The sequence below is a fragment of the Homo sapiens genome, chromosome 1 (assembly GCF_000001405.40).
Source record: "Homo sapiens chromosome 1, GRCh38.p14 Primary Assembly".
NCBI lineage: Eukaryota > Metazoa > Chordata > Mammalia > Primates > Hominidae > Homo > Homo sapiens.
In genome coordinates, this window is record NC_000001.11 from 39338504 (window position 1) to 39354208 (window position 15705).

Sequence of the window (15705 nt, forward strand, 5' to 3'; positions counted from 1 at the left end):
AATTGGTTTAAAGTCTGTTTAAGAAGCAATTAGACCTTTAGATTTTCAACTTACTTCACATAGCCTGGCAACTGCTTGTGCTGTGCTCTAACGAAAGGCTGGATGTTCATTCTCTGAGGAAAGTAATTCAAAGTATCTCTTGACTAGGGAGAGCAGCCATTTATTGAAGGTAAATATTCCATACAGAAATCAGTAGGATTAACTGGAAGTTCACATACATACTGAATTTTGAGCTATATCCTTGCTCCCGCTATGGTTTGACCAGCCCAAGGGGGAAGACCTAATGGTACTGATATAAGTGGTTTCCCAACTGTATGGCCCAGCTCCATCACCCTCAGTGAAGACTACAGCCAGCAGAGTTTATAGTCAGCTTTTTAGGGCATTACACTCCACTTCAGCATCCAGAAAGCTTCTGATACAAAAGGAGAGGCTAAAACAAAGAAAAAGAAACTTGGACAAAATACAGACTATTTAGGAAAAAAAACATACTGAGGGCCAGTCACAGTGGCTCATGCCTATAATCCCAGCACTTTGGTAGGCCAAGACAAGAGGATTGCTTGAGCCCAGGAGTTTGAGATCATCCTGGGCAACACAGTAAGAAATTAGCCAAGCCTGGTGGTATACACCCTAGTCCCAGCCACTCAGGAAGCTGAGGCAGGAGGATTTGCCTGAGCCCAGGAGTTTGAGGTTGTATTGAGCTATGAATGCATCACTGCACTCCAGTCTGGGAGACGGAGTGAGACCCTGTCTTAAAAAAAAGAAAGAAAAATATATTCAAAAGCACTGCCATTTAAAGGACCAACAAAGAAACAACAACAACAAAAATAGATTGAAAAAGTCTAACTGGAGATCTCTGAAGAAGACCTGGAAACACTCGTCTCACAGAAACCAAAGGAGGAGGAGTCAGCCCTAGTAACTGCCACAGGGAGATTGAGTACAATGAGGACTGAAGGGGAGATTCAGCTCCTGAAAGTTATTGGTGACTTTGAACAGTTTCAGTGGAGTGACGGGATATAAACTAACTTGCAGCTGGAAGAAATGGGAGGTTGGAAAGTAGAGACAATTAATATAGATCCTTCTTTCCAGAAGTCTTAGGTACAGGCAAGGAATGAGGTGGGACACTACTTGAAGGAGATGGATTGAAAGGAATGTTTTGAATGGGTTTTGGACTGAGGAGAAAGAACCAATTAAAAGGGAGAACTTGAAGTTAGAAGAGAGAGGAAGTGATAACTGATAGAACCAGTCCCCTAAAAACGTAGAAAGACAGCCTTGAGAGGGAGGAAGAGTGGCTATTTCACTGAAATTGGAGGTTAAGAGTTGTCATAGGATTGGAGTCACCATGAAGACAGATTGTAGTGGTTTACTGGTTCTCTCAATATCTAGTGTGTGGCCTTGGGTAGGGTGGCTGAACCGGGGCTGAGGATGATGCCCCAAAGAACTATGTCAAGTTCTTCCACAGCTTATTTCCGGCTTATCTGTTGAGGACCAGAATATTACAGACTAGATGAGTGGAAAAGCTGGTTGGGGTTAGCTTTGTATTCTTTGGTTCCATGACCCTGGAATTTAGAGTGGAAGAGTCATCCGTTCGGTTTATTTTGTAGCACATTAATTCTGCACAGCTGCTCCTTGGGGAAAGGCATAATGACACTCTCAGAGAGGCAGCAAGTTACAGTGGAGGGAGCACACTGCACTGAGTGAGAAAACCTGAATCCAAGTCCTGGCTGTACTGCTTACCAGCTGGGTGACCTTGGACACCATTCACATTTTTTTTTTAAGCAATGAGGCATCTCTTCTGTAAATCCAGAACAGTAACATCTACCTTGCCTACTTCATGAATTAGTGATTGTGAGAACCAAGTAAACTAATGAATGTACATAAAAACATTTTCTAAGCCCTAAAGTGTGTGTAGACATGGGGTGAGAGAGAAATGTGTTCACAGCTGATTCCCAGAGGGTTTCTAGTCTTGCTTTTATAGGTAACTCCACTTTATTCCCTCAGGTATTAGAAAGGGAGTTAAAGGATCTGACCACCTTGGTCAGTCAGGAGCTGGAGTGTGTGAATCAGATTATCATCAGCCAGCCTCAAGAAGTTCCTGCTCAACTGTTGAAGGCTCTAGAGAAAGATGCCAAGAATCTTCAGAAGTCTCTCAGCTCTGTGAGTGACACTTGGAATTCCAGGCTACTCCACTTCCAGAATGCTGTGGAAATAGAAAAGGTAGCATTTTGCTTTTATTCATAAAGGCTCACAAAGTCTGGGTGGCTGGGAGATTTTCATAATGTGATTTTCCATTTATTTCTTAGACTAAAGTGTTAAATCAGCACACACAGCTAGAAGGCCGACTTCAAGATCTGAGAGCCTGGGTTGGCAATAAAAATCTTATTCTGAACAGCAAGGGATCTAACAGTGAAATAGATGTTGACAGCCTGAACCTCTGCCTCCAACAGTATGAGGTAAACTCAAGCACATTTTCTTTGTCCTTTGAGTTGTATCAATTTTATTTCCCTGCTAGGCAAACCAATATCCATATTTATCTTTTTTTTTTTTTTTTGAGACGGAGTCTTGCTCTGTCACCCAAGCTGGAGTGCAGTGGCACAATCCCAGCTCACTGCAACCTCCGCCTCCTGGGTTCAAGCGATTCTCCTGCCTCAGCCTCCTGAGTAGCTGGGACTATAGGCGCCTACCTCCACGCCCGGCTCATTTTTGTATTTTTAGTGGAGACGGGGTTTCACCATGTTGGCCAGGCTGGTTTCGAACTCCTGATCTCAGGTGATCCGCCCACCTCGGCCTCCCAAAGTGCTGGGATTATAGGTGTGAGCCACCACACCCGGCCATTTATCTTTCTTAGAAAGTCTGATTTTCCATTTTATAAATAAAGTCAGCTATGTTTAGGTTTATAATTATCATATCCCTGGCCGGCCATGGCAGCTCACACCTGTAATACCAGCATTTTGGGAGGCCGAGGCGGGCAGATCACCTGAGGTCAGGAGTTCAACACCAGCCTGGCCAACATGGTGAAACCCCGTCTCTATTAAAAATACAAAAAAATTAGCCGGGCGGTGTGGCAGGCACCCGTAATCCCAGCTACTTGGGAGCCTGAGGCAGGAGAATCGCTTGAACCCAGGAAGCAGAGGTTGCAGTGAGCCAAGACCGCGCCATTGCACTCCAGCTTGGGCAACAAGAACGAAACTCCGTCTTAAAATAAAAAAAATCATATCCCTGGAGCTTCAGTGATAATGATCATTTCTCCTTTCAGCTATTCTCTGAGAGACCATCTACTGAATGACCTGTTATTATCAATCTCATCCTCTCTTTATAAATGAGCATCTAGGATCCGTCCTTTGTTTCTTTTTTGACCACGATCCAATCCTACGTGCACACACACATACCAGTTTCAGGAGATTTTTTGTTGTTGTTTTCAGGGGTACATGTGCAGGTTTGTTATATAGGTAAACTGCATGTCATGAGGGTTTGATATACAGATAATTTTATCACCTGGGTAATAAGCATAGTAACCAATAGGTATTTTTTCTGATCCTGTCTCTGCTCCCACCCCCTCACCCTCAAGTAGGCCCCAGTATCTGTTGTTCCCCTCCTAGTATCCATGTGTTCTTGTTTGGCTTCCACTTATAAGTGAGAACATGCCATATTTGGCTTTCTGTTCCTATGTTAGTTTGCTTGGGATAATGGCCTCCAGCTCCATCCATATTGCTTTAAAGGATATGATCTCGTTCTTTCTTATGGCTGGATAGTATTCCATAAAATGTGGTGTCCACATTTTCTTTATCCAGTGTACCATTGATGGGCATTTAGGTTGATTCCATATCTTTGCTATTGTGAATAGTGCTGTACTGAACATACACACACATGTGTCTTTATGATAGAATGATTTACATTCCTTTGGGTATATACCCAATAACGGGATAGCTAGGTCAAATGGTAATTCTAAGTTCCTGTGAAATCGCCGCAGTGCTTTCCACCATGACTGAACTCAGGAGAGTTTTTGATTGGTTATTTACAGCATGGGTTGGCAAACTTTTTTTTTTTTTTTTGTGTGACAGAGTCTCTCTCTGTCACCCAGGCTGGAGTGCAGTGGTGCGATCTCAGCTCACTGCAACCTCCATTCTCCTGCCGCAGCCTCCCAAGTAGCTGGGATTACAGGCACCCACCACCATGCCAGGCTAAATTTTTTGTATTTTCAGTAGAGAGGGGTTTCACCATGTTGCGTAGAGTGGTCTCGAACTCCTGACCTCAGGCAATCCACCCACCTTGGCCTCCCAAAATGCTGGGATTACAGACATGAGCCACCGCGTCTGGCCAGCAAACTTTTTAAATAAAGGGCCAGATAATAAACATTATAGGCTTTATGAACCATATGCAAAAGACCTATTTCTGTTGCAATCACTCAAAATTAAAGCAGCCATAAATAGTACATAAACAAATGGCTATGGCTATGTTCCAATAAAACTTTATTTACAAAAAAACACGTGACAGACCAGATTTTGCTTGGGGGCCACAGTTTGTTGACCCCCCTGCTCTAGAGAGTTGCTTTTCTTCTTCTTAAGCCCCAGATTAATTGATTCTTTTTATTAGTCAATAAGAGAAAAGACCATGAGACACATGTGAGCCAGAGAGTTTTCTCCCCAATATTGTTCTCTTTTTTTGTTCTATTTAAGATTATTTGAGGTATTACAGTGGTTTATCAACCCTCTGCTATAGAGAGATACCCCTCTCCTTCAACTTTTTAGAATGTCAGAACGGAACTAGAAATGTCCCCTCCTTCTATTCTATCTTCTCCCTCTTCCCCAATCTTAAGAGAAGCAGACATAAAAGTTTGTCCATGATCAACCTTATACACAATCTCATCCCTCTTTATCACGCAAGAGTTGACCTGCCTCCTCTTTTTATACCCTTTATCCAAAGATATCACTGAGGGAGAGAGTTTCAGACTTTATTCAGCCTTTATCTGTTTGCTAAGATATTACAAAGAAGCAAGCATGAAAAAAATTACCATGACATAGTGTGAGATATAAAAACATAGAGACATAGAGCATTTCATGCATTGGTGCCCTCCCCTAGTTATAACATATGAATCCTCTTGTAGCAGAGAACGACAGTCTGAGCCTTGTTTTTCTAGTGATAGTTTCCTAAATTATCATGTTCACAGAGGAAGGAAGCTTTGTCTTATTGTTAGCAGTGGCAAATCCATGTGAGTCTGCAGCAGCTCGGTTCTTGCCTCCTCAGGCGAAAGAATTTGACCAAGGGGCATAAGGCAGGGGGAGAGACTGAGGCAAGTTTTAGAGCAGGAGTGAAAGTTTATTTAAAAGTTTTAGGGCTGGGCACGGTGGCTCACGCCTGTAATCCCAGCACTTTGGGAGGCCGAGGCGGGCGGATCACCTGAGGTCGGGAGTTTGAGACCAGCCTGACCAACAAGAAGAAACCCCGTCTCTACTAAAAATACAAAGTTAGCCAGGCGTGGTGGCACATGCCTGTAATCTCAGCTACTCGGGAGGCTGAGGCAGGAGAATCACTTGAACCCGGGAGGCAGAGGTTGTGGTGAGCCGAGGTTGCGCCATTGCACTCCAGCCTGGGCAACAAGAGGGAAACTCCATCTCAAAAAAAAAAAAAGAAAAAAAGTTTTAGGGCCAGGCGTGGTGGCTCATGCCTATAAATCCCAACACTTTGGGAGGCGAAGGCGGGAGGATCACCTGAAGTTCAGGAGTTCAAGAGCAGCCTGGCCAACATGGTGAAACCCCATCTCTACTAAAAAAAATATATAAAATTAGCTGGGCATAGTGGCAGGCACCTGTAATCTCAGTTACTTGGGAGGCTGAGGCAGGAGAATCGCTTGAACCCGGGAGGTGGAGATTGCAATGAGCTGAGATCGTGCCACTGGACTCCAGCCTGGGTGACAGAGCGCGACTCTGTCTCAAAAAAAAAAAAAAAAATTCAGAGCAGGAATGAAAGGAAGTAAAGTACACTTGGAAGAGGGCCAAACGGGCAACTTGAGAGATCCAAGTGTGCTGTCTGTCCTTTGACTTGGGGTTTTATATGTTGGCATGCTTCCAGGGGTTACGTTTCTCCTCCCCTGATTCTTCCCTTGGGGTGGGCTGTCTGCATGTGCAGTGACCTGCTAGCACTTGGGAGGGGTCGCATGTGCAGTGTGTTTACTAAAGTTGTATACATGCTCACTTGAGGCGTTTTTCCCTTACCAGTCGAGCGTTTTTAGAGGAAGTTCATATACCAGTTTAAACTCTGCCACTTTGCCTCTTAGTGCGCATGCTTGAGCCCACTCGCCCAGCTCCTGAGATCTTACCTGGAAGCTGCTAATCACCAGCTTTAGGTGTTTTCTATCTATTGAGAGCCTGCCTTTCTCTGCTGTCGCTGCAACCAATTATTATTTTAGAGAGATGGTTGAACAACCACCTGACCGTCACCTGATGGTCACCTGACATTCTTGGAGGTGACCATCAGGTGATGTGGAGGTGGGCAGGGCCTCTCATGCCCTGCTCATATCTGCCTAACTACCTACTGTAACATTATGATAAATATTCAAGAAGCCCTTTCTGCCTGTTCTGCAGGATTGACTACTCTCAATTGATCTACTCTCAGTTTCAAAGTGATGGAGATCCAGTATAACATAATTGATAATCACTAGATGTGGGAAGATTACTTGTTTTTAATAGTCTGAAAACAGATGATTTTAGTGTTTGGACAGTTTTTACTACTTTAAGGGAAAAATATAACTATAACAAGAAAGTCTGAGTGTAATCTTTCAGTTTAAAAAATAGTATAAACAGCATCATTTACTCAGAAAATCAAAATTTAGGCTGGGCATGGTGGCTCATGCCTGTAATCCCAGCACTTTGGGAGGCTAAGTGGAAGGATCACTTAAGCCCGGGAGTTTGAGACCAGCCTGGGCAATGTGGTGAGACACCATGTCTACAGATAACTTAAAAAATTAGCTGGGCATGGTGGTGCACACGTGTGGTCCCAGCTACTTGGAAGGCTGAGGTGAGAGGATTGCTTGAGCCCAGGAGGTCCAGGCTGCATTGAGTTTTGTATGCATCACTGCACTCCAGCCTGGGTGACAGAGCAAGATCTTGTCTCAAAAACAAAAATTTTAGCGAATCATAAACAAATTATATATTTTCTCAGTACTGGCCTACCAGTAACTCATTGCTGGACAGATACAAATAGAAATTTGAACCTAAGAAAGTACAATTAGGTACATCTCAGATCAGAAATTCATGTTATACTTTGCAAAACTTTTTTAAAAGATTGATGGCCGGGCGTGTGGCTCACGCCTGTAATCTCAGCACTTTGGGAGGTTAAGGAGGGCAGATCACTTGAGGCCGGGAGTTCGAGACAAGCCTGGCCAACATGGCAAAACCCTGTCTCTACTAAAAATACAAAAAATTAGCCAGGCATGGTGGTGAGTACCTGTAGGCCCAGCTACTCAGGAGGTAGAGGCACAAGAATTGCTTGAACCAGTGAGGCAGAGGTTGCAATGAGCCGAGATTGTACCACTGCATTCCAGCCTGGGCAACAGAGCAAGACTCTGTTTGAAAAAAAAAAAAAGGCCAGGCATGGTGGCTCACGCCTGTAATCCCAACAGTTTGGGAGGCCAAGGCGGGCAGATCATGAGGTCAGGAGATCGAGACCATCTTGCTAACACAGTGAAACCCCATCTCTACTAAAAGTACAAAAAATTAGCCGGGCATGGTGGCGGGCGCCTGTAGTCCCAGCTACTCGAGAGGCTGAGGGAGGAGAATAGCATGAACCTGGGAGGCAGAGCTTGCAGTGAGCCGAGATGGCGCCCCTGTACTCCAGCCTGGGTGACAGAGCGAAACTCTGTATCAAAAGGAAAAAATTCACAGATATTTTGGATTAACAATAGTATAATTATGCTAGCATAAATAATTGAGCTGCTTACTGTATTTGGAAATCAAGGTAGGTCCAGTAAAGGGAACTTAATTCTAATTTATGAGGAGTTTGGAGAGACTGAAAGTGAGAGAGACTTTTTTTTTTTTTTTTGAGATGGAGTCTCGCTCTGTCACCCAGGCTGGAGTGCAGTAGTGCAGTCTCGGCTCACCGCAACCTCTGCCTCCCGGGTTCACGCCATTCTCCTGCCTCAGCCTCCCAAGTAGCTGGGACTACAGGCGCCTGCCACTACGCCTGGCTAATTTTTTGTATTTTTAGTAGAGACGGGGTTTCACCGTGTTAGCCAGGATGGTCTCCATCTCCTGACCTTGTGATCCGCCCACCTTGGCCTCCCAAAGTGCTGGGATTACAGGCATGAGCCACCGCACCTGGCCAAGAGAGACTTTAATTCTAATTTGGCCCTAGAATCATTAGTGCCAGTTATGAAAATACAGGAAATTAGCCTCTCTGATTCTGTTGGTTTTCTTCATGAACTGAGAAATGGAAGTATCATGGTTTTTTGTGTTTTGTTTCCTTTTTCCATTTACCTTAGGATTTGAAACAGCCCATGGCTGAAAGGAAAGCTCAGCTGGATGCTCTTGCTTTTGATATTCAGTTCTTTATCTCAGAACATGCCCAGGACTTGTCCCCTCAGCAGAATCGACAGATGCTGAGGCTTCTGAATGAACTGCAGAGGTCCTTCCAGGACATTTTGGAACAGACTGCCGCTCAGGTGGATGCCTTGCAGGGCCATCTTCAACAAATGGAGCAGGAAGCCCTGGTGAAGGTCAGACTGAACCAGCAGCTGGGCTCAGTTTGTCTTTGGGGATGTCCTCTGTCATTGGGTTTTCTGGCCAGACTCTGTGTATCATGATTGCAGGAGCCTGGGTTTACCAATTTTGAAATTTCATGTCATGCAGGCCAGTATGGTTCTAGTCCAGGAGGCACTTGTTCTGGCTGTTGTTCTTGCCATGTCTTTGGTTTTATGTATGTGTGAGAGAATGTATGTGTTGACATGTGTATACATATGCAAGTGTTTTCTTTTAGTGAGACTTTTCCTTCGCTGTATCTCATTGTCTCTGAATTTCAAATGAAAATCATGTATCTAGTCCTTTCCCTACTTTACTTTCTCCTTTAGCATTGTTTTGAGGGCTCGTAAGAACATCTAGATACCCTGAGCTCTTGAGGAGAAGGGTTCTGAAATCAGTTTCATTCTATTTAATCTATTTCAAATGATTTACCATAAGGTTCCTTGACAATCCTTAAGTGGCTGACAAGGAAATTTTATTAGAATCGTATTAATTTTTGGCTCTTTAAGAATTAATATTATTTTCTTGCACCTTTCCTCACAGTATAGTGCCCAGTGCTTATTCGCTTATTCAATCATGGAAAACAGTATGTAGAAGCAGGATGATACTAAAACAAACAAACAAACAAACAAAAAACTAACCATCCTACCATCTTCCATCACAACTCTCTTCTTGCAAAGCTCAACTCAACATAATTACATTAATAGTAACATCAAAACCTTAGAATACCCAGAATGATGTTCATGCCATTTCTGCTATTTGAATAGTAAGTTGGCATATAGCAAGATGATATTAGAATTGTCATTATCACCATAAAATTTGTCTCAAGGGCTCCTTTATTAAATGTTGTGCAAAAAATTGAGCTTTTGAGTCAGACTTTAAGGGAATTAGGGTAGTTGGTGCCATATGTCCTGTATTACTGTCTCATTTTTTCAACTATATTGAAATTGAGATATATTAATGGAAAGCTTTAGGTTACCTTTGAAAACTGAGCATGTGCAATGCTCGCATTCAGGAGTTTATATAGCATGATATAACCTTTGGATAATTAATGAAGTAAAATTCATCTGAGCCACATTAAGACAAGACCCAGCCCAGATTCAGGGTAGACTCCTGAGCTGCAGCAGGTGATAGAACTGCATGTGAACATTCTCCCTGAGCATGTAATTAATTCCACAATGCTTATTAACCTTGTTATTGTCAGAAATGCTCTGCTTCTCTCAATATTTGCCTTGGATGTGTGTGTATGTCTCTGTGTTAACTTGTTTGCTTTGCTTTTTTCAGATTCAGTCTGCACCCATCCTAACCCATGAAGATCCTGTTTTACAGCTGAAGAGCTCTTAGGAGTTCTCTTCCAGAGCCCTTCTATTTGTCCTAAAGAGGGGGAGAGAGGGCCAATTTGGGCACCTGTTTGTAAGTGCAGGTGACTAAAGCGCCATCAGAAGGTAGAAACTGGTGGAAAATGGTTTTAGAAGGATGGTCAGGAGAACACATCATGCTCAATTGCTCAGTCAGGTGCTTCAATGTCATACAACTGAGATAAAATCTAGAGAAAGGATCAGGCACAGAAACATATTCCCTCTCTCTCCTTGGGCCTGGCCTGTTCCTTTGATATTAGTGTAGACACCTAAAGGACTGAGCCAGTTGCTATTCTTGGGCACTTTCCTTCTCAAAATAGCCAAATCTAGCCCTTCATGCCTGGCGTGTAATCATTTTATTTAATGAGTCTCTGGATTGATGAGACATTTGATTTATAAAGTCAGCTCAATTATTAAGAAGCTCGATTAACTTATGAATTATCCAGGTCTTTGATTTTTCTTTCTACTCCAATTCTTCTACTTTTGCATATTATGTAGCAAATCTCTGGTTCTAGTGGAGGGATTGATCAGAACCACTAAATTATTATCATCACCATTATCATGTGTGGATTTCAAGCATCTGGGCTCTTTCTTCTCCATTTCCAAAGATAATAACAGCAGTCTGGTGAAGGAGCTCTCAAACCAAAACCTGAACTAGAAACATTCTCATAATTATCCTGATTATCCAATCCATAGACCCAGATCAATGGACTGTCCAAATGAGGGGAGCTTTCCGAATATGATTTCTATGTCTTTTCCTATTCTAGTCTCCCACCAACTTTTCCATCCTTGAGATATAACCTTCCTGTTTTACATTTCAGGGAGTTTCTTGTATTTGCAAAATGTGAATTACGAAATGTCTCTTGACCCCTTTGCATTTTAATTAGACCCTGCAGAAACAACAAAATACCTGTCACCAGCAACTGGAGGATCTTTGCAGTTGGGTAGGACAGGCAGAAAGAGCACTGGCAGGCCACCAAGGCAGAACCACCCAGCAGGATCTCTCTGCTTTGCAGAAGAACCAAAGTGACTTGAAGGTCAGTGTGAATCTGTCAATTTTGACACAAAGTCTCGCTCTATCGCTTAGGCTGGAGTACAGTGGTGTTATCTTGGCTCACTGCAGCTTCGATCTCCTGGGCTCAGGCAATCCTCCCACCTCAGCCTCCCCAGGAGCTGGGACAAAGTCATGAGCCACCATGTCCTAATTTTTTAATTTTTTTGTAGAGATGGGGTATCACTATGTTGCCAAAGCTGGTCTCGAACTCTGGGCTCAAGCAATCCTCCTGCCGTGGCCTTGGCCTCTCAAAGTGTTAGGATAACAGGCTTGAGCCACCATGCCTGGTGATTTTTTCATTCCTTCGACAAATATTTAGTGCTCAAGGGTTAGCAATAATGGTAAACAGACATCATCCCTGGCCTTGTGAAGCACACAGTCTAGCAGGGCATACAGAAATTATACAGGTTATTATAAAAATGAACATAAAATTATTAACTGTTATATCTGTGAAGGAAAACTCATATGAGAACATATAGCAGAGAGACCCAATCTAGTCTAGGATTTCAGAAAAGATTATCTTGAAGAAGTGTCACCTAAACTTGAGAAATGAAAGATATGTAGGCGTTAATGCATGAAGAGGTAGGAGGAGGAAGAGAACATACCAGGCAGAGGCTTATATATTGGTCTTGAGGTGGGTATGGTATTGAGCACAACATATTCAAGAACCGAAAGAAAGCTAGTTCGACTGGACTGCAAAAAACAAGAGGAAAATTAGGGAAAGTTGAAGTTGGAGGGGTAAGTGGGACCTGTATCACACTGGACCCCGCAGGCCACATTAAGGATAAGGAGTGATACCCAAGAGAGTATAAGGGCCCATCAGGCCTCGACTCTGCTAAGATCATGTTGTCAACACTTCTTTATGGAAAGAATGATCTCTTTGAGGATAATGCATTGCAAAATGAAAAATCTCTCATGTTCATGTTTATGGACAACCTCCTTTTTTGGCTTCACTAAATATTTGCTTAGAAAACAAAATCAAATTTCTTTGCATTGATTTAAGCCTAAACCTGAAGCAAATTGTAGTTAGGGACTATATACAGGACTATATGTCATCCTAGCCATTCCATCTTTATACCATTAGAGGACTTAGAAGCACTAAAGTCGAAGGCTCTGCCATTCCTATTTTCTTGTGTTAAGGATTTACAGGATGACATTCAGAATCGTGCCACCTCATTTGCCACTGTTGTCAAGGACATTGAGGGGTTCATGGAAGAGAATCAGACCAAGCTGAGCCCACGTGAGTTGACAGCTCTTCGGGAAAAGCTTCATCAGGCTAAGGAGCAATATGAGGCGCTCCAGGAAGAGACACGTGTGGCCCAGAAGGAACTGGAGGAAGCAGTGACCTCCGCCTTACAGCAGGAGACTGAAAAGGTAATAGACTGCTATGACGCTTGATATTTTTCAAAAAAGAAAATTTTGGTACCAACACAAATAAAAGACAGTGAGGGGAAAACAGGCTTATAGCATGCACAGAATCATGAGGAAGGGCTACTTCAGGAGCTAGTCTGGTTTTTGTTTTTTGAGACGGAATCTCTGTCACCCAGGCTGGAGTGCAGTGGCATGATCTCGGCTTACTGCAACCTCTGCCTGCCAGGTTCAAGTGATTCTCCTGCCTCAGCTTCAGCCTCCCAAGTAGCTGGGATTACAGGTGCCTGTCACCACACCTAGCTAATTTTTGTATTTTTAGTAGAGATGAGGTTTCACCAGGTTGGCCAGGCTGGCTAGTCTGTGTTTTTACAAGAATCTTTATTTTTACAAGAAATGTCCAGGAGGAGTTTAAGTCAGGACAGTTGGTAAAAAGTACATATTCCTATTCCTCCCCAAACCCCCAAACATCTTGCTATCTGTATACTCAGTCCTCTGACTAACTGAAAAATATCAGAAAGAACTTAGTGAGGAAGAGTATTATTATGGGGAGAAAAAAAGCAAATGGCTTTTTTTTTTTTTTTTTTTTTTTGAGACAGAGTTTTGCTCTGTTGCCAAGACTGGAGTACAGTGGTGCAATCTCAGCTCACTGCAACCTCCACTTCCTGGGTTTGAGTGATTCTCGTGCCTCAGCCTCCTGAGTAGCTGGGACTACAGATGCATGCCACCACACCCAGCTAATTTTTGTATTTTTTAGTAGAGATGGGGTTTCACCATGTGGACCCAGCTGTTCTCAAACTCCTGACCTCAAGTGATCCTCCTGCCTCGGCCTCCCAAAGTGCTGGGATTACAGGTGTGAGTCACCATGCCTGGCCAAATGACATATTTTAATATGAGTCTAGACTGGTGATCTAAGAGTACTAGGGAAAAATATCTATGAAGTCTTAGTGAGCCAAAAGCTGTCCCCGAGCTGCCTCTATAGTTACGATGGGAATCGTGGCACTCGGATAAACCAAAGAGAAGCCAAAGTCTCAAATGACCTTCTGCACCCCACTCAGCACTGGCAGATTGAATTTGAATTCTTTGTTTAGCCTTGGATGCCGACACTAATGAGGAAAGTGGAGAACATGGAAAAGAAAAATAAATTACCTGAAGATGAATTTTGAAATAGATTAATATATAACTTGGCATAACCTATTTAATCTATTAAAATACATGTAGAGCCAGTAAATATAATTTCAGAGGCAAGTTGAAGAATTAAATGTTTCCCTGTAGCCTCAGGTGAGAGAAAAAATTTAAAAAGAGCTAAATGTTCTGTTTAGTTGAGGAAAGGATGAAAGAAGTTTGTCTTTCCTTTAGGAAAGAGCAGCCCGGTAACTGAATGTGACTGTGCTATTTCTTACCCTACCAAGCCAGTCCGGCACTTCTGTGTACCTCAAAAGATTCTGTGAAGCTTGCTGGGGTGGCAGGACTAAATGACCTCTAAATAAAATATTTCTGAATCCTAGGATTTGTTTTGTTTTGAGACAGAGTATTGCCGTGTCACCGAAGCTGGAGTGCAGTGGCACGATCTTGGCTTACTGCAACCTCCACCTCCCAGGTTCAAACGATACTCGTGTCTCAGCCTCCTGAGTAGCTGGGTCTACAGGCATGCACCACCACACCCAGATAATTTTTTGTATTTTTAGTAGAGATGGGGTTTCACCGTGTTGACCAGGCTTGTCTCAAACTCCTGATCCTGAAGTGAGCCACTGTGTCCTGCCTCTTTTTTTTTTTTTAAAGCAGTAAGATATAATGAAATGTAGAGATATTTTTAATAATTTTTCAAAAGATTTTAAAAGATATGAATTCTCTTTTGTATGTGCAAAGACTGTTTATACCCAGTCTTAGAATTAGCATAAAATTATCTCCTCCCCTTTACCCCATTACTTAACCTGTGGTTGTATGATTGAGTATGTAAAGCCTTCTCACTAGACTACCTCGGTGGCTTTCAGAGTAAAGCAGCAAAGGAACTGGCAGAGAACAAGAAGAAGATCGATGCTCTCCTGGATTGGGTAACTTCAGTAGGATCATCTGGTGGACAGCTGCTGACCAACCTTCCAGGAATGGAGCAGCTCTCGGGAGCTAGCTTGGAGAAAGGAGCCTTGGACACCACTGATGGTTACATGGGGGTGAATCAAGCCCCAGAGAAACTGGACAAGCAATGTGAGATGATGAAGGTAAGGGTGTTAGCTTATCCTCACTATGCTAGAGAAATCTCTCCTGCCCTGAGCAAGTAACCACAATCACCTTGCCCCTAAATCCAGTGAGCACTTCTCAGTTTGTATCTTCTTTGATGTCTCAGCAGCTTTGACACTGTTGGCCACTCCTCTTGAAATACTTTCTCCCTTGGTTTCCATAATACTACTCTGCCCTGACCATCTTTCTTACTTTCCTCTGGCCAGGTTTTCAAATACTGATGTTTCCAGGTGTATCCTAGGCCCTCTTTTTATCTTTCAGAACATACTTTCCTTGGGCAGTCTCATCTACTCACAACACTGTAATTGCCATTTGCACTAATGAATTCTGTGTATGCATTTCCTTCCAGCCCTGATTTCTGTCCCGAGCTTCAAAACGGTATATAAATCTGTCTGCCTATTTGCAACTTGGGCCCATAAGCACATCAGCCTGAAAATGGAACTCCTATTTCCTATGATACTCCTCCCACAATTAAACATTCTCTTTCCTTTATTCCCACTTCATTGTCTGAACTGGACATCATCCTAGATTCCATTCTCTCTCTCACTCTCCTATGTCAAATCAGTCATCAAATCTTATGGTAATTATATTTCTTTCAAAGTCAGCTATACTTCTTCATCTTTATTGAGATATTATTGTAGTTTAGAACCACTGTCTGCTTTCACTGTTATTATTATAGTAGCTTCTACTGGTCTTCTTGCCTCTTGGTTTTTACCTTCCAGTCCATTCTCCTTACTACTAAGGAATCTTTCTAAAATGCCATATCCTTGCTTAGCCCTTTTTATGGTTCCCTGTTGCCCTCAAGATTACCTGGTTAACTCTCCTCTCAGCCCCTACCCACTGGGATCTAGTCTACTTATTTGGCCTTATCTGTCACCTTCCTTTATACTTGAGCATCTGCTTATATTGATTCCTTTCAGTTTATTGGCTAAACTGTGCTCTCACTTTCCTCTGGGCC

At 42.9% G+C, this 15705-nt stretch overlaps 1 protein-coding gene across 2 annotated transcripts in view, besides 2 other annotated features; it reads left to right on the forward strand.

Annotated features, from left to right (window-relative positions):
• Positions 1 to 15705, forward strand: part of MACF1 (microtubule actin crosslinking factor 1) — a 402972-nt gene that overhangs the window by 254337 nt on the left and 132930 nt on the right. The window contains exons 39-44 of one of the 2 annotated variants that reach the window (NM_001394062.1): positions 1999 to 2214; positions 2301 to 2450; positions 8474 to 8707; positions 10975 to 11124; positions 12282 to 12515; positions 14504 to 14728. In NM_001394062.1, the coding sequence (NP_001380991.1) occupies positions 1999 to 2214; positions 2301 to 2450; positions 8474 to 8707; positions 10975 to 11124; positions 12282 to 12515; positions 14504 to 14728 (1209 nt within the window). The remainder of the gene's footprint in view (positions 1 to 1998; positions 2215 to 2300; positions 2451 to 8473; positions 8708 to 10974; positions 11125 to 12281; positions 12516 to 14503; positions 14729 to 15705) is intronic. The other variant, NM_012090.5, reaches the window with a different exon arrangement.
• Positions 6994 to 7495: an enhancer, noted in NCBI's record as "H3K27ac hESC enhancer chr1:39811169-39811670 (GRCh37/hg19 assembly coordinates)". NCBI's record gives its function as "activates a minimal SCP1, AML or CMV promoter by ChIP-STARR-seq in naive H9 embryonic stem cells {active_cell/tissue: H9 hESC(naive)}" and the evidence as "EXISTENCE:reporter gene assay evidence [ECO:0000049][PMID:30033119]".
• Positions 8103 to 9302: an enhancer, noted in NCBI's record as "MED14-independent group 3 enhancer chr1:39812278-39813477 (GRCh37/hg19 assembly coordinates)". NCBI's record gives its function as "activates an origin of replication core promoter dependent on BRD2, BRD4, P300/CBP and CDK7 cofactors, and independent of MED14, by STARR-seq in HCT116 cells {active_cell/tissue: HCT116}" and the evidence as "EXISTENCE:reporter gene assay evidence [ECO:0000049][PMID:35650434]".